At 36.2% G+C, this 16,997-nt stretch overlaps 1 protein-coding gene across 29 annotated transcripts in view; it reads right to left on the bottom strand.

The window, feature by feature from the left end:
• The window catches only part of ROBO2 (roundabout guidance receptor 2), a 1,743,290-nt gene that overhangs the window by 1,330,186 nt on the left and 396,107 nt on the right, over positions 1–16,997 (bottom strand). For 20 of the 29 annotated variants that reach the window (XM_011533981.3, XM_011533983.2, XM_017006988.2 and 17 more), the window contains exon 1: positions 8,362–8,899. The exons of the other annotated variants lie outside the window; for them this stretch is intronic. In XM_011533981.3, coding sequence (XP_011532283.1) covers positions 8,362–8,491 — 130 coding nt within the window. In that variant the 5' untranslated portion in view covers positions 8,492–8,899. Of the gene's footprint in view, positions 1–8,361; positions 8,900–16,997 lie in introns of those variants that run through there. 29 annotated transcript variants of the gene reach the window in all.

The raw sequence follows: 16,997 nt of genomic DNA, 5'->3' as shown, positions 1-16,997 counted from the left end.
TGAAAGCCATTCTCTCATTAAAAAAAAAAGCACAAATGGGAAAAAAATATAAATAAACAAACAAAAATCAGCATGAATCATCCAGAAGTTAACAAGTAATTTGAAGAACAGGTTCAATGCTGGAGCTTACTCAACATTACCCTAAATTGAGAAATTGAGATTTTGGTTTGAAATCAACCATAGGATAACCTCAAAATATTATTTGGATACTTTTTTTCCCCAAAAATAGAACCAAGTGCAACTTTAGTATAATTTTGTTTTCAACATCATAATCATTTAACTTAGTTGAAGACACCAGCTAAAGGGAAAGGAATATTCCTTCCCAAGAAAGAAAAAAAAGGCTTAAGAATTATAAATTATAAGTTTATGGAGGGTAGAATCCATATATAGAATAGTTTTTCAAGTGTCTTCGATAGAGCAAGCTTTGAACACTTACTTAATATACGGATTTCAAAAACCCAGTGTGGAGTAAGTCAAGAAATCTCTTTTGTGTGTGAAGCTGCATATCATTTTTAAGACATCAATAAAAGACTTTGGAACTTTGATTTTATTTTTGTAAGTCTGGGATTGTGATCCTTTGTTTTCATTTCTTAAATTCTACTTTTGGACAAAGGTGATCCTCAGGACTGATGAGACTGAATGGCTGAAAGATAACTTTTCATGGGGCCATAAGCCCTGATGAATTCCCTGGTCTCTGAAAATGTAATGGCCTTTCGATGTAATATGTTTATTTTCTTTCCTTTTTAGAAGAATTATCTCTTGTTTGGGTGACCTTGGTTTCTTAATGAAACTAAAATCCTTAACAGCTAAAATATCCCCAGTCTTGATTGACCAAGGTCATTATCTGATTCACATAATCTTCAGTTGACTTGGGCAAACACCTTATTACCAACTCTCATCACTTTTGGAATTTCTTTTTTTTGAAATTTTAATTCCTTTTCAAGTAACAAAACCTGTGAAAATAACTAAACTTTATATTTTTTCCCCATTTTTTAACATTCAACTAACTTTGAAGGTTGAATTTGAAAACTAAAAAAAATGAAATTGCTCTGGGACTAAGACCTAATATTAGCCATGGTCCACCCTGAAGCAAAAATTTTATAGCTAAGTTGTAAACCCTTTGAAAATGTAGCTTATAATGGAAGCGCTGACACAATCTTAACTATGCATTCATGAACCCCAACACTAATATATCCAAGGTGTTTTATTACTGTCAATTTATCTCAGTTTTTAAAATTAAATAACCCCTCCAAGCATCTTTATTTCCCTTTTAAGTTTTTAAACAAATGTGTGTGTATATGTTTGTAAATATGTGTATATGCATGTGTGTAATTTGGAAACGGGAGGAGAGGGTGGGGGCTGATAGATATATACACACAATTTGTACACATGCTTGATAAGGGTGTAATGCATTAATATGTTTTTCAACCCACACTTTTCCCTGGCATAATCTGACATTATAAAGAACATACGCTTCCCAACATCGTTTTCTTCAAAGTGGTGCAACCGTCTGCTACCTAGGCAGTAGTTTTCCCCACTTTTGATAAGAGTGCTTAGTCTATTTGTAAGTAAAATTCAAAGAGCTTTTTTAATATACCTACTTTAATATACCTACTTTTCTAATATGAAGAATACATCAAAACTCTTTCCAATTTTTTCCCTATTTGTCATTAAATTAAAAATTATATTTCAGGTAAATAACATGAAATCTCAGGGTATTTTAATCACAAGGGAACAAGCATACATTAATGACAAATATATAATTAAAATGAAATTTTGATGTCAAAATTTAAAAAAGTGAATTTGAATAGAAGTTTAACAAAAATGACAATGGATAAAAAATACTCAGGACATATTTTCTATAGCTAAGACAAATCTATTATTCTCAAGCACCATTTTTTTCATTATCAAAATCTTATATATATGGAATTTTCCTGAATTTATTAAATGCTATTTCCCAAATAACATGAAACAATATGAGTAAGTTTTACAACAGATCTTAGTATAGTTGCTAAGCATATTCTTCAATTACTATATATAAAAAATACTCTAATAATCTTTTGAACATATAGAAAAAACATGTTTTTCAGACCTGGTTTTGGAATTTACTTTTCAGTTGTAAGAAAGATAAGGTATTAAATCTATTTATTGCATACAGATGGAGATTAAATTATTTAAACAAATGAAACTCAGACGTAATGATTATACACAGTACAAAGAACACTCTGCATTTTGCATGAATATTCATACAGTTCAGTTTCCAGATTCCCAATCTCACATTATAAATTACTTTTGAACAACAGTGTTGCTTTCTTTTTTTCTACTGCACTACTTCCTACATGAGTCTGACAGAGTTTTCCAAATTTCTTGACTACTATAAAATACCTTCAAATTTTTCTACAACTAAAACTGACATTTAAATGATATAGTAAAAGCCTTGTAATAAAAATGATTTCCCAGCGTTACAAAGGTGAGATCCATCACATTGGCTAAAAGTAAGAAATGTGTAATTAACACTTAAAGTCAGAATATTGTATTACCAGTCTATTTTTCCATGTACTTTGTCCATTCATCAAATATTTATTAAGCATCTATTAAGTACAAGACTGCATGTTAACAAAGATTAATCAAAGACAAAATTTCTCTTGAAATTACTTACAAAGTGGTTAAAAAGACACAGACGCACATAACAATTAAGCACTATAAAAACTGACAGATGTCTTCTTATCTATGTAAAGTGTCATAATCCTTTAGAAGATGAAATATAATTTTAAGCATGCAGGTTAGAAGCATTTTATCTGGAAGTTAGAACTAGTGTAGTGGTTGGGGTTATTTCAAGAACAACATAAAGTGATCTACATTTGTTTCCTCAAACCAGAAAGTCTTAAGTTGTTGCAGGAAGTCAGGGACCCTGAACGGAGGGACTGGCTGGAGCCGCGGCCGAGGAACATAAATTGTGAAGATTTCATTTTAATATGGACATTTATCAGTTCCCAAAATTAATACTTTTATAATTTCTTACACCTGTCTTCACTTCAGTCTCTGAACATAAATTGTGAAGATTTCATAGACATTTATCAGTTCCCAAATAATACTCTTATAATTTCTTATGCCTGTCTTTACTTTAATCTCCTAATCCTGTTAACTTCATGAGCTGCGAATGTATGTCACCTCAGGACCTCTACTGTACAAATTGATTGTAAAACATGTGTGTTTCAACAATATGATATCAGTGCACCTTGAAAAAGAACAGAATAACAGCGATTTTCAGGGAACAAGGGAAGACGACCATAAGGTCTGACTGCCTGCAGGGTTGGGCAGAATACAGCCATATTTTTCTTCTTGCAGACAGCCTATAAATGGACATGGAAGTAGGAGCGATATCACTAAATTCTTCTCCTAGCAAGGATTATTAAATATTAAGACCCTAGGAAAAGAATTGCATTCCTTGGGGGAGGTCTATAAATCGTCGCTCTTGCAGTGTCTGTCTTATGCGGTTGAGATAAGGACTGAGATACGCCCTGGTCTCCTGCAGTACCCTCAGGCTTACTAGGATTGGGAAACACCAGCCCTGGTAAATTTCAGGTCAGACCAGTTCTCTGCTCTCGAACCCTGTTTCCTGTTAAGATGTTTATCAAGACAATACGTGCACCGCTGAACATAGACCCTTATCAGGAGTTTCTGATTTTGTCCTGGTCCTGTTTCCTCAGAAGCATGTGATCTACTCCCTGTTCGTACACTCCCTCCCCTTTTAAAATCCCTAATAAAAACTTGCTGGTTTTCCAGCTCAGGGGGCATCATGGACCTACCAATGTGTGATGTCACCCCCAGAGGGCCAGCTGTAAAATTCCTCTCTTTGTATTCTTTCTCTTTATTTCTCAGACCGGCCGACACTTAGGGAAAATAGAAAGAACCTATGTTGAAATACTGGGGGCTGGTTCCCCCAATATTAAGTTATTTCATTGTTTCTGAAAGAGTAAATCATTGTGTTCAAATCTGATTAATGAAAATATTGATTTCTTACCCAATAGCAAGGAATGTGAGATACTGGTTTTATGAGGCAGTAAATTTTTTATTAGTTCATATAACTAGGGGAAACATCAGAAGAAATATAATAATGGGCTTCTATGCAGTAGACACCATCAAATACTTAATAATTTTTTCTTAACTTTTAAGGTTAAAAAACTTCTACAAGCTCCAACAAATTCTGAAATAATTGTCAATGTATTAGATGGGACCATGCAGATAAGAGATTAAAATTGAAATTGCCACTCTAAATATTCCTAGGTCAGCGCTTCAATGCACCATGAATTAAAATGTTGCAATACCGTAGTATGTGCTCATAATACAATTTAATCCTTCCTAAAGAGGGAGAAGATAACTGCCAGAGAGGCTTTCTTTGCTTAGCAAAGATATATATTAGATAACTGGCTGCTGTAATTTATTACAGAAAAAAAGTATGGCTGTTGTGTGAAATAATTTTCTGAGTTATTAAAAGTTTTGATCACTTCATACTTCGTTGCCAATAGTTTAACTCTCATGTCATAAGTGAGATGATTGAGTGAACTCAACAGACTCTTCCAGGAGGTTGAAATGGAGTCAAGGTCAAGTGCCAGAATGGGTGGGACATGGACAACAGTCAGGTCTAATTCCCCCTCTTAGTTTGATCAGTGGTTGCTCAGACTAGCCAATGTTTGTGTTGAACCAAGGGGTCAACGTTTTGACTATTTCATGCCAGCCTTACCCACTTACATCTTCTAGACCTATTTTTCTATTTATACCTATTTACCTCCCATTTGTACCTTTAATAGTAGCTATAAATATTAAAATTTGGCTTAAATTATAATTTCCAATAGCAGAAATAGATATGATTGACCCTTGAACAACACAGGGGTTAGAGCCACTGACCCCTGTGCCAGTCAAAAATCTGCATATAACTTTTGACTTCCCCAAAACTTAACCACTAATAACCCACTGTTGACTGGAAGCATTACCAGTAACATAAACTGTTGATTAACACATGTTTTATATGTTATATGTATTATATACTGTATTCTTACAGTAAAGTAAGCTAGGGAAAAGAAAATGTTATTAAGAAAATCGTAAGGAAGAGAAAATACATCTACTATTCCTTAAGTGAAAGTGGAGCATCATAAAATCTTCATCCTCATGTCTTCACATTAAGTAGGTTAAAGAAGAAGAGGAGAGGTTGGTCCTGCTGTCTCAGGGGTGGCAGAGACAGAAGAAAGTTCTCATATGAGTGAATCTGCACAGTTCAAACCTGTGTCATTCAAGGGTGAACTCAATACATATGTATATTATATGTAAATATGATATTATCTATTTATATATAACTTCCTTTTTGTTGTATATATTGAACATCTGCATTGTAAACTTTTCTGTAGAGTTATGCTCATGTGAATGGAGCTGTTTACATCTTTTAGACTTTTTCATGGTGAAGGTAATCGAACATAAAATAATTAGCTTCTGTAATTCTAATGAAGAAAATGTCAGCAATGTAGTTAAGATTTCTGGTGAGTTTATCATAAATGCAAACTCTTATGATCACTTATGTCATGCTCTAAATTAATCAGATGGGACACCTGCCTTCCCTTAAGGTGTTCATATATTGTGATTAAATAGAAAAGTGTATGCCTGAGGGAAAACTTGCTGGCCTACTAACCTATATTTGGGAGTCATGTTCATTGATGAGCTTAAAAATCCCTTGAGAGCCAACAATAATCTGCCTTTTTTCCAAATGTTCTGACAAGTCAGTTTCCCGTCATCCGTTTGGTGCTGTCTGGCTACGTGCTGCTCGTATCACTCCTCACAGGCCACACGTATACACTGGTCTTTGAAGCTGCCACTCCCCAAGCCTGCCCCAATAACCATTTCTGTCTCAATGGTAGTTCCTGTTAATACTACAAAAATGGAAATTGTCAAGGTGAGCAGGTTGCCATATGGAGGTTGACAGCTGCTCAGTCAGATTAAGACAAATGCACATAGGCAGTGTGAGTGCAAGAAAAAAAAAATAACTCGGAAGAAAACTTTGTTGTTTGCTATTGGTATCTTTTCCAGGATTTTTAGAAATAGAGTATCTGTTTTAAAGATTGTTTTGTACGCAGGTAAGCTTGAGCTGGTATTGATATGAAGCAAACCAAAAAAGAGTAAAGTAACCTTTAAAATGTTGTATTTCCATGTTGATCCTCTTTGCCTCTGGCCACAGTGTTTAATTTAACATGACTCATTCTCCCCCATCCCACCTCATGTGTAGAACACCTCTGCAAGGTATCTTTCAAAATAATAAATGAAGATCCTTACATTGTGAAAAGGGAAATAATGTTGAACAAATTGTAAAAATGTGTTTTAAAAGACTGCATAGCATGCCAAGAAAAAAACGAACAGAATTTTACAACCCACTGAAAGATAACACACCACCATCAATAGCCAAGCTCATGAATAAATAAATATTTACAACATACACATATGCATATCAAGGCGAGGCTACATCGCAGGAACTCAGAATCTGTGGAAAATATTTATGCAATGCCTATACAGTAACAAACAGAGGCACTAAAAAGGAAATAATTTTAAAGCACAGTCAACACGTTTAAAGTTTTTCAGTAACTTGACTGACCTTTAAAAAATACACAGAATTCTTTTAACAATATGAAATATGTTGCTATGATTGCCTATTCCTGAACTTAACTGAGTTGTATCATCATCACACAGCAGAGCTAGCAAATTTCTAGCTGAGCTAGTTAGAGTACATTGGAAAAAGTGGTCATATGTTCAAAGAGGAAACATTTCAGACTTGATTTACAAATGAAATCTAATGCATCTGTATTCAAAGCTGTGTGAAATGAATACATGCTTAGGAACACACACAAGCATTTTAAATAAACCTTTCTGAATAGGTTAACAACTTTGCTAAAATCTTGCAGCAATCTTTCTCACGGGTAGCTAGAGCTCCAAAGTTTACTGCTTAAGTTTAACGCAGGAAATTAAACTTTGACATGCTATAGGTACTGACCATATGTAAGAAATACAAGTTAACACTCCTGACATCAATAACACCATACATCGCTAAATCCTAAGCTACTAAAGGCCAGCATGCAGGCTAACATAAATAACTGCTTGCAGTTTGCAAGAAAAAGAAATCCATTGATAACACTAGGAAATATAGTAATGTGATGGTATAATTTACAAGGCCTGAAGATAATTTGCAGCACCATTCCTCTGGGTGGATCTGCACCAACCATCTAAGCTAAGTGCCTGTTGGAACTTTTCCCTCAAAGGTACAGTAGGCAGAAGATTTGTAATATATTTAATGCAACAAAAGGAGAAGCAGAAAGATCAGACTGATGGGGCTTGGGTATTTAGAAAATCCTGCTGAGATATTGTGGTACATTTTTAAAACTTCTTGTTCATAATATACATGCTTCTCTTGAACCTCAGATGATAAACACTGACAGGAAAGAAATGGTAGGGGAGACTCAGAAACATTTTTACAGCCAAGATAAAAACGTTAGGTAAAAAGAATGCTTCTGCAAAGCAAAATCCTCAGATATATCTCCCATCAAGATTTTTCTCCAAACATACAAACAGTGTCCAGAAAGTCTCTCGTGGGATATGTCTGCACCATCATTTTGGCTTACAGCATTCACAAAACACATATCTTGGTAACTTGTGTTTATATAAACAAATGGCATTCGGGGAAGCAGAACCCACTGAACTTTATAGAAAGGTTGATTCAAAGTCTCAAAAATTCTCTCCCATCTCACGATAATTTTTCAACAGCAGAAGAAAATGTATTACAACACTTCAAAGTACTGAAAGGCTTTTTCTCATTCAGCAGATTTTTTTCCAATAAAGTTAATGCAATTTATCTTTATTAACACATCAACACTGATAGAGTCAGCCAGAAAATTAGTGTTGGTGGCACTGCATTTCATAACATGCCCTTTCTCAGACATCCCTCTGATCAGTTCACAAAATCTGCCAACAATTCAGGGATCTAGCATATTCAGAACCCATTTCTTTTAAAAATAATGCGGCTTCCGAAGGAAAACACATATATTCTTGCACTAGAGAAGCATGCATCTGCTCTTACAGTCTCCCTGCTGGAAACGATCATTGTAATGCTTTGAAAGCCCAGAAAACCAAACATTGCAAAAATATATTGATATCAATAACAGAAAATTCTTCTTTCTAGCTATCTGCAACGCAGACCCCCTTTCCTGAAATAAAAACCTGATTTCAGACAGAAGCAGCTCCTTCACCCTCAGCTGTCCTTAAGTTAGCAGTAACTGGCCTTGCTAACTCCATTTAGATCTTTAACACGAAACTTTCATCACTTACCCCCCTTCCAAGGTTTTCCTTTCCAGGGGGTCCGGGTCAGCTTGCTCAGAGTTGGTCCAGAGAGGAAGAGCATCAAAACGAAGAGAAGTTCAAGCCTAGTAATTTTCTCCACTTTCTCTGATGATAACATTTCCACAAGTTAATTTCACAAAATTTCTCACATCCTCTTCCCTCCTGGTTATGAAAATAGCATTAATCATTGAAAAACCTGAGGTAGGTGTTGTTTTGCCATCTTTAACAGCTGAAGTAGCAGCTTCCTGATGTAGCCCTGAGCCAAGCTACATTTCTCACGGATCCGGCTCCTTCTCCTCAGTACGCAGTCAGCCCTGCTTCTACTCCAGAAGCTATAAAATAATTTCTGTTCTCCACTTTGCTTTCAGTGGGAATATATTCCTCAGTGTTCTGGGTGAGCTTGATTGAAAATGATAAAAACAGTAATGTCTGTGTCCAGCAGAAAAGGGAAAAGATGTCAGGATTATGTGAAAAAGATGAGAAGCAGTTGTACTGACAGCTTTCAGGCTGCCTGTGTGATCCTAATAGCCGTGCAACCAACCAAATTGCTCTTTTAAGAGTAATAAGGCTTCAGTGAAAGCCGGTGTCACCGCCACTTGGGTGGGTAGTGCTGGGCTTGAAAACCACCCAGGAACCGCCACGGATAACGCCTGCTTCAGTTCAGCTTCAGAATATTAAGGGCTGAGCAAAATATAGTATGCACAGAGGGTAGTTAATCTATTGTGTGGATAGACGAGGATTCAGGCAATGTAGCAGAGGAAGACTCAGAACTTAAAATGTATCTTATTTTTCCTTTACTTCACCTCGTGACATTCAAAGGGGATTGCATCGGCACTAATGATTCATAAATGGGTCTGAAATATTTATTAGATGAACAACAATAAGTATATAATTTTTCTCCCCAGCAATAAAACAGGAAGGGCAAGTTCTCAATACGTAGTTGCAGCTCTCCTCTGTGTTCAATGAAGTCAGTTTATTTCGGCGTTCCTGTGTCACCCTAATGAACCCACCATGAATATCATAAGCAAACTTTTGGAAATACCAACATAGACGGCCAAGGCTTTCTGGAACGTGTTAATCACACATTCAAGAAAGCATATTTTTATTTGTTTGTGTACATCACCATGGAAATACAACAAGCTCCTCAAGCCTTTCTGTCTTTTGCGACTATGTTTATGCAGACATTGCTGGTCACAAGGTATGGTTATAATTAACACATGACAGTGCCCCTGGATGAAGATGACGTGGGTGAAGGCATACATATAAAATGAACTAATTTGGGATTGTCTGACGTGGTGGCTCACATCTGTAATTCCAGCACTTTGGGAGGCCAAGGCAGGAGTATAACTTGAACCCAGGAGTTTCATACCAGACTGGGCAACATGGTGAGACCCCCACCTCTACAAAAAAAAAAAAATTAGCCATGCATGGTGGTACGCCTGTAGTTCCAGCTACTCAGGAGGCTGAGGCAAGAGGATCACTTAAGTCTGGGAGGTTGAGGCTGCAGTAAGTCATGATGGTGCCACTATACTCCAGCCTGGGCGATAGAGCAAGACACTGTCTCAATAATAGTAACAATAATAATTAATAAAAATGATAGAATCTTTGCCACCTGAAGTGAATTGGCGTGATCAAAACATTCTGGCTACTATTTTAAATCTGTCTACATGTTAGTATATGTATGGTCACTAATTTCCTTAATCAGTGAGACACAATACATGAATTATGCACTTATGTATTTTAAAGTAATCAATTTCTATATTATGATAACCACCAGTTTTATGATGTTATCACTTTCAAAAGGGAACAAATTACCGCTTTCAAATCATATTCTTGGAAGAGGTACCTTTAGAAGAGCAAGTTATCTTGTTAAGATAAGCCACATATTAAATTTGAAAATACAGTTATTACAATTTGTTTTTATAAAAAGGAAACTATGTTTGTCAAAAAAAATTAATGGAATACACAAAATAAACTCTCACATTGTGCCTTAGTTTAGAAACAATAATCACCCTGTATTCAACTTTCAATTTGAAAACTTCTGTGTGAGGAAGGAAAAACTTATGCCCATTTTATAAATAGTGAATTTAAAATTCCATGTCTTTGCATACTTAAAAATGGGGAGCTATATTTAACTCAGAATTTGATTTTCTTTTTCCAGTCACTATCCTGTTTACCTGACAATTTCCTCTCTCTTTAAATGCAAGTAAACAGAAATTGGTAGAATAAATTGACCAACTCCCTCACCACCAACTTCTGAGGAGGACTCTACAACTAAACCCATTTACTTTCCGCTGGCTCCATCCCTCTTCAAAGAAAAAGCACAGATTTCATGATTAGCAATTAAAAAAAAAATGTCTTGGCCCTTTGGCAGAACAGAAAAAATGTCAAATAGGTTTGAATATAATAAAAGTGTGTGGATAGAATTGTTGAATTTTTCTGAAAGGTCTGGCCGGAACAAGGTTACTAAGAAAATCATTCTTTCCTGAAATGGGGTAAAGCTGGTTAGATTCACTCCAAAAATATTTCATGTTTAGATTTCCAAGGTTTCTTTCCTTTTCAATAATCCCTAGTAGACACCAGGTCACAGCTCTCTCTGATGGGGAAATTGAAATGGAATTGGAAGAACAAAATCACTGTTGCTCAACAAGGGAAGTCACTCTCTTCCAGAATTCATCTGGCAGAAGTTTGAAGTTCTGCTGGAGCTTTCTGCATACCAGAAGAGAGAAGAGAAAGCCTCCTCATATGGAAATAGTGAGGGTAGCAAATGGAATAAACAAGAGTACAATCTGAAGGAAAAGTGAAAGACTAAGAGGAGAGGCAGTCCAATGAGACATGTATCTGTGAAAGTATGAGTTTAGAAATGCCTTCCCATCTACGTTAATATTAGTAACAAATTAGCTAACTTATTACAAGTTCAAAGCACTTTGCATTCATCAACTCATTTAATCCTTACTAAAACACAATGAAGTAGGAATAATTCTTTTTTCTTTGCTTTTCTTTCTTTCTTTTTTTTTTTTTTTTTTTTTGAGACAGAGTCTCACGCTGTCACCCAGGCTGGAGGGCAGTGGTGCGATCTCGCCTTATTGCAACCTCCGCTTCCTGGGGTCAAGCGATTCTTCTGCCTCAGCCTCTCGAGTAGCTGGGATTACAGGCGCCCACCACCACGCCCAGCTAATGTCTGTATTTTTAGTAGTGACGAGGTTTCACCATATTGGCCAGGCTGGTTTCAAACTCCTGACCTTGTGATCCACTCACCTTGGCCTCCCAAAGTGCTGGGATTACAAGCGTGAGCCACCATGCCCAGCCAAAGTAGGGATAATTCTTTCCTGCATTTAGTACAGTATAAACTGAGGCACAGAGAGTTTAAGTCACCTATCCAACGTCATAGTGCTGTTTTGAATTCAAACCCCTCAGTTCCAAGCCTTTGCTCATCCCTGTGCTAGGCCCTCCATGAAACTGTTGTCTCTGCACTCTCAATCCTTCTGAGCTACCTTGCTCATAAGTAACATCTTAATGTAAAAGAATAGCAAATAGTGATAACATGCTCAATATATGTGAGGTTTTAAGTGCTTTAGAGGTTTTCTTTATTTTCATGAACTTGTGAGATGAGTCATTTATTATTCATACTCTACATATTGCTACTTAGCCAATGTCACATCGTGATTACCCAGCAGAGCTAGAATTTGAATCCTGCACAGCCCCAGTTTTTGTTATTCTTCTCTTTTACTGAGTCGGGCGCATGGATCTTGGGAAACTGGAAAGGGCTTAAGCAAAGCTTGAAAGGTAAGGGAATTAGAGGGATTTTGGGGTAGTTGTGGCTTGGAATCTTCTTTAGTTTACTGGCAGCAGCACAGAGGTCTATAAATGGGAAGGTCCACCGAGAGAGGCAATCAGAATAAAATTCCTCACCACCTACTCGTGCTCAAAGGAAAACATGAAGAAAAAGAAGGCCCCAGCAAGACCTGACTTACAGACAGTTACAATACACATAATAAATGCTTTAATGCAGGCCATAAAGAATGGTTAGGAAGACTGCAGAGAAGGAGTACTATAAAGGAGGTATATATTAAAGTGAAGTTCAGTGAGAGAGAAGAGAAAGAGCTGGTTCAGCTAGGACATTCAGGGCAGAGAAGGTGGCTTTTCCACTAAGTATCAAATAATGAGAATATATTTTAAGACTAGGTCAAGTCAGGCAAGAGGCAGAGGATAATCCAGGCTGAGGAAATAGCATGAGCATGGTTACAGCCAGGAAAGAAAGCCTGTCCCCTTCCAGGAACTGCCAGGAAGGCAGTGTGGCTGGGTGTGGAACCTATAGATGAGTAGCAGCGGTAGGCAGGGGCTAGATTAAAATGTTCGAGTGCATTAACCACCAAAGCTTTAGGCTTTATCTTCAATGGTAGGGGGTCAACAAAGGGTTTAAATTAGGGAAATTACATGATCCAAAATGAGTTTAAAAAAATGGGCTGCATTATGATGGGGAGTGAAATTAGAAGCAGGAAAAACCGCTTAAATATACAATAGTCCAAGCAAGAAAACTTTGGAAACTGAACTGAAAACAGTGGGAATAAATAGAAAGAGACTAATTTGAAATAAACTTTAAGGTTTCTTATCTACATTCCTTCATTGAACAAACATTTAAAACCTATACATTAAGCCAGGAAAAATGCTAGGTATTTTAAGAATAATCAGACAAAGTCCCTGTTATCAAAATGCTTATATCCTTAAGAATTTAGTTACAAATTAAATACAAAGAATAATGGGAAATTATTCCAGCGTTTAAGCTCTCTTCTTTAAATATGTCATTTGAAGTTTGATTTTGTCTGTCCTGCTAGCATTTGCTTCAACTTTGACACCATTAAGCAAGATTTAGGAATCTCCATAATTATATATATTCATTTTTATCCAATACCATGATTTATTCTAATTATACCCCCTGAATTTTACTATTTATGCACAATAAATACCATCTTGCCTTTTATTTATTTTCTTAATAAGGATATAATTTTTACTAATCTCTGATACTAGGTAGTAATGGCATAATGTGAGTTATGTTACTAGACTTTTAATGATTGAATGTGTATGAGATAAAACCTTCCCTAATGAGTTTACAAACAAAAATTGTCACCAAGCTTTTGAAAAAAAATACATCAAATTTTATATTTTATATCAATATGTTGTTGTTTTTAATCTCACTGATTATACTCACTTCATTAGATGAGGCTGAAGACTGAACCAATCCATTTTCTGAAAATTCTGTGAGTTTGGTCACTAGGTACCTAGCAGGCTCTCAATCAGGATCAATTTTAACCTCAAAAAGACATTTGACAGTGTCTGAAGACATTTTGTGGCTGTCACAGCAAGGTTGAAAGAGTGCAACTCACATGTCTTGTGGGTAGAGCCCAGGGATTCTGCTACACACCCTGCGATGCACAGGACAGGCCTCCCCTCCCAACAAAGAATTATCAGAAGAAAATCTCCATAGTGTTGAAGCTGAGAAACTCTGAGCAATCCTCAGCTTGTCTGATCACAAGGTGATGTTTTTTTGTTTTTTTTTTTGAGATGGAGTCTTGCTCTGTCACCCCCAGAGCACAACCTACACTATGCATTTCAGACCAACTAATAGAAGTGGACAATTTTTTTTTTTTATATGGAGTCCCACTCTGTTACCCAGGCTAGAGTGCAGTGGTGCAGTCTCAGCTCATTGCAACCTCCGCCTCCTGGGTTCAAGCAATTCTCCTGCCTCTGCCTCCTGAGTAGCTGGGATTACAAGCACCCACCACCACACCCAGCTAATTTTTGTATTTTTAGCAGAGATGGGGTTTTACCATGGTGGCTAGGCTGGTCTTGAACTCCTGACCTCGTGATCCGCCTGCCTCAGCCACCCAATGTGCTGGGATTACAGGCATAAATCACCACACCCTGCCGATGATTCTTGTAGCCATCATTTTATGTAAGTATAGTCAGAACAAATGCTGTTCTTTTTTTTTTTTTTTTTTTTTTTTTTTTTTTTTTTTTGACAGATCTTGCTCTGTCACCCAGGCTGAAGTGCAGTGGTGAGATCATGACTCACTGTAGCCCCGAACTCTTGGGCTCAAGCAATCTTCCTGCCTCAGCCTCCAGAGTAGCTGGGACTACAGGAACTCACAACTGCACCTGGCTAATTTTTCTAGCTTTTTGTAGAGACAGGAATCTGGCTATGTTGCCTAAGCTGATATTAAACTCCTGGATTCAGGTGATCCTCTGTCCTCAGCCTCCCAAAATGCTTCAATTAAAGGCATGATCTAAAATGCTTTTCTTGACTGAAGCTCCCAAGATGACCACAGAACAGTTATTACCAACACACTCTGCAACAACAGCAATGTAAAATATCCTATTTATATTCTTATGCTTCCAAGGAAGTCTCCTATTTCTGCTATGATAATTCACCCACAGAGAGTAACTCATCTCCCTGAACACCTTACATCAGACCAAAGAAATGGTGGATTTACCCCGCTTGAGTGCTGGAAAGGGCCCAGTGGTGCATATATACATCGAGAAAAATCTTTCTAGTCCAGAAAATTCTCACTGTTTCTTCATTACACACACAGACAAAAAAAAAGAAAGAGAAAGAAAGAAAGAAAGAAAGAAAGAAAGAAAGAAAGAAAGAAAGAAAGAAGGAAAGAAAAGAAAAGAAAGAAAGAAAGAAAGAGAAAGAAAATAAAACAACAACAAAATAAAACGAGAAAATCATCAGGGCAAACTTAGCTGTGTGACTCTCTAACTACTTTCCTTCTCATTAACTTGGCAAAGATTATTCTCTACTAACTACAGGCTGCACTATTGTTAAAATGTTGTATTATATACTCCATCAACAAGCCATCAGAATAAAATTTTAGCTGGGATTTAATCAAAGAGACAGTAGTAAATTAGCATTAGCATTAGCTTCATAACTCTTGAAAGACCAAAGATCAATTCACTATTACATATATAGATACATATGTAGTTTCATTAATTACGTCGTTATTTCTCCCTAATTCTTTAACGTTCTATTTTGACTATGCAAGCCAAAATACAGATCTGAATGTTTTAATGCCATATTAAAAACACACTTTAATTCTTTGTTTTTAACCATGTTTTCCATAAACAGAAACAAGGTATCGTATACATCCTTTCTAGCTCAGCCTGCTGCAAAGGCAAATCATTCCACAACAAGAGAAACATTGCTTGTTTTTTGCACAATGTATGGTAACATATAATATATATCAGTTTTGTTTCCAAGGTAAAATATATGTACAGTTACATAAGTACCAGGTCAAATGCATAATGTATAAATACTTCAATTACAATGTGGCTGAAGAATTAACTCTGGTTAATTGAAATATCTACCTAAATACAAAAAAATCACTTATTTTCACTGTTATCGAGAAATAGTTTAAATATTTTTATTCCTTTTTCCTTTGCCAGTGATTTCTACAGAGTGAACATCTCTGAATTCCTCTGATAATTTAAGACCCTGCAGCACCTGAGTATCACCGGGTTGCACATCAGTTCTCATCCAATTAGCTTGCAGTTATAGGAGACAAAAAGGTAAGGCTGAATCTGCAAAGAGATCAGGGCAAGCTGCATTAGTTGAACCTTCAAATGAGCTCCTAATATTACACTGCATTTTGCTAATGTTTCCTTTCCATTAAAAAATTAAGCAGAGGCTTATATATCTTATTGGAGGGTCCTAGTTGATTGTGTTTTACTTCATAATATGCTTTTAAACATTTAACTGAGACAGGCAGTTTAATATTTTGCTCCCTCTTTTTTTTTGAAGAGTAGTTCAAAATATTGGTGGTTTCATTGGAATAATCTGGGCAAATTTGTTAGTACACCACTCTGTGGTTTTGATTCAACAAGTTGTGTGTAGGACCTGGGTGCGTGCATTTTGAAAAAAGAATCTGTTCTGTGTACCTCTGAAATGCACTGCACTGCTACTCCAGTGTTAACTATTTTGGAAGGAAAAGTTTATGCGTTCTGGGTTTGCTATATAGCACCTAGTTCATTATTTTTATATATATACACACACACACACACACAATTAAAGTTTAAACCTTTTAAAATGAATATATTTTTAGAATTCATACGAAAAATTAGTTTCTGACATTTGTTAACACATAGTTAACCTAAGTTGCAAGTGATTACATGACTTCACTGTAAAGAAGGCAGAATGTGGGTCCTGGGGAGGCGCCCTAGTGATTTGATAGAGAATAAGCCTTGAAATCTCATCAAACATGCTTGAACCTGTAAAATATTCTTTTTTTCATCTGAGATATTTTCTTGGGCTTATGTAAAGTTCATTTAAAGGACAGTGCTAGAAAGGTTGACATGGTTTATTGGCTATGCTACATCAATTACATAAAATATTTCTTATCTATAAGAGATACCAACAGGATGTTTATTTTTAAAATTTTTTATAATAAATTTATCCAAACATGGGATATTCCTGTCTATAAATACATAAAATCTACATAGTCTAAATAGCACAGTCACTAAATTATAGTGTTACAGAGTCCCATGAGGATGTTTGCAGAATATATACAGTCATGCATTGCTTAGATATTTTCTGAGACATGCATCACCGGGTGATCCCATCATTG

Source organism: Homo sapiens, chromosome 3 (genome assembly GCF_000001405.40).
Source record: "Homo sapiens chromosome 3, GRCh38.p14 Primary Assembly".
NCBI classification, from domain to species: domain Eukaryota; kingdom Metazoa; phylum Chordata; class Mammalia; order Primates; family Hominidae; genus Homo; species Homo sapiens.
This window is presented reverse-complemented; position numbering and strand designations above follow the sequence as displayed.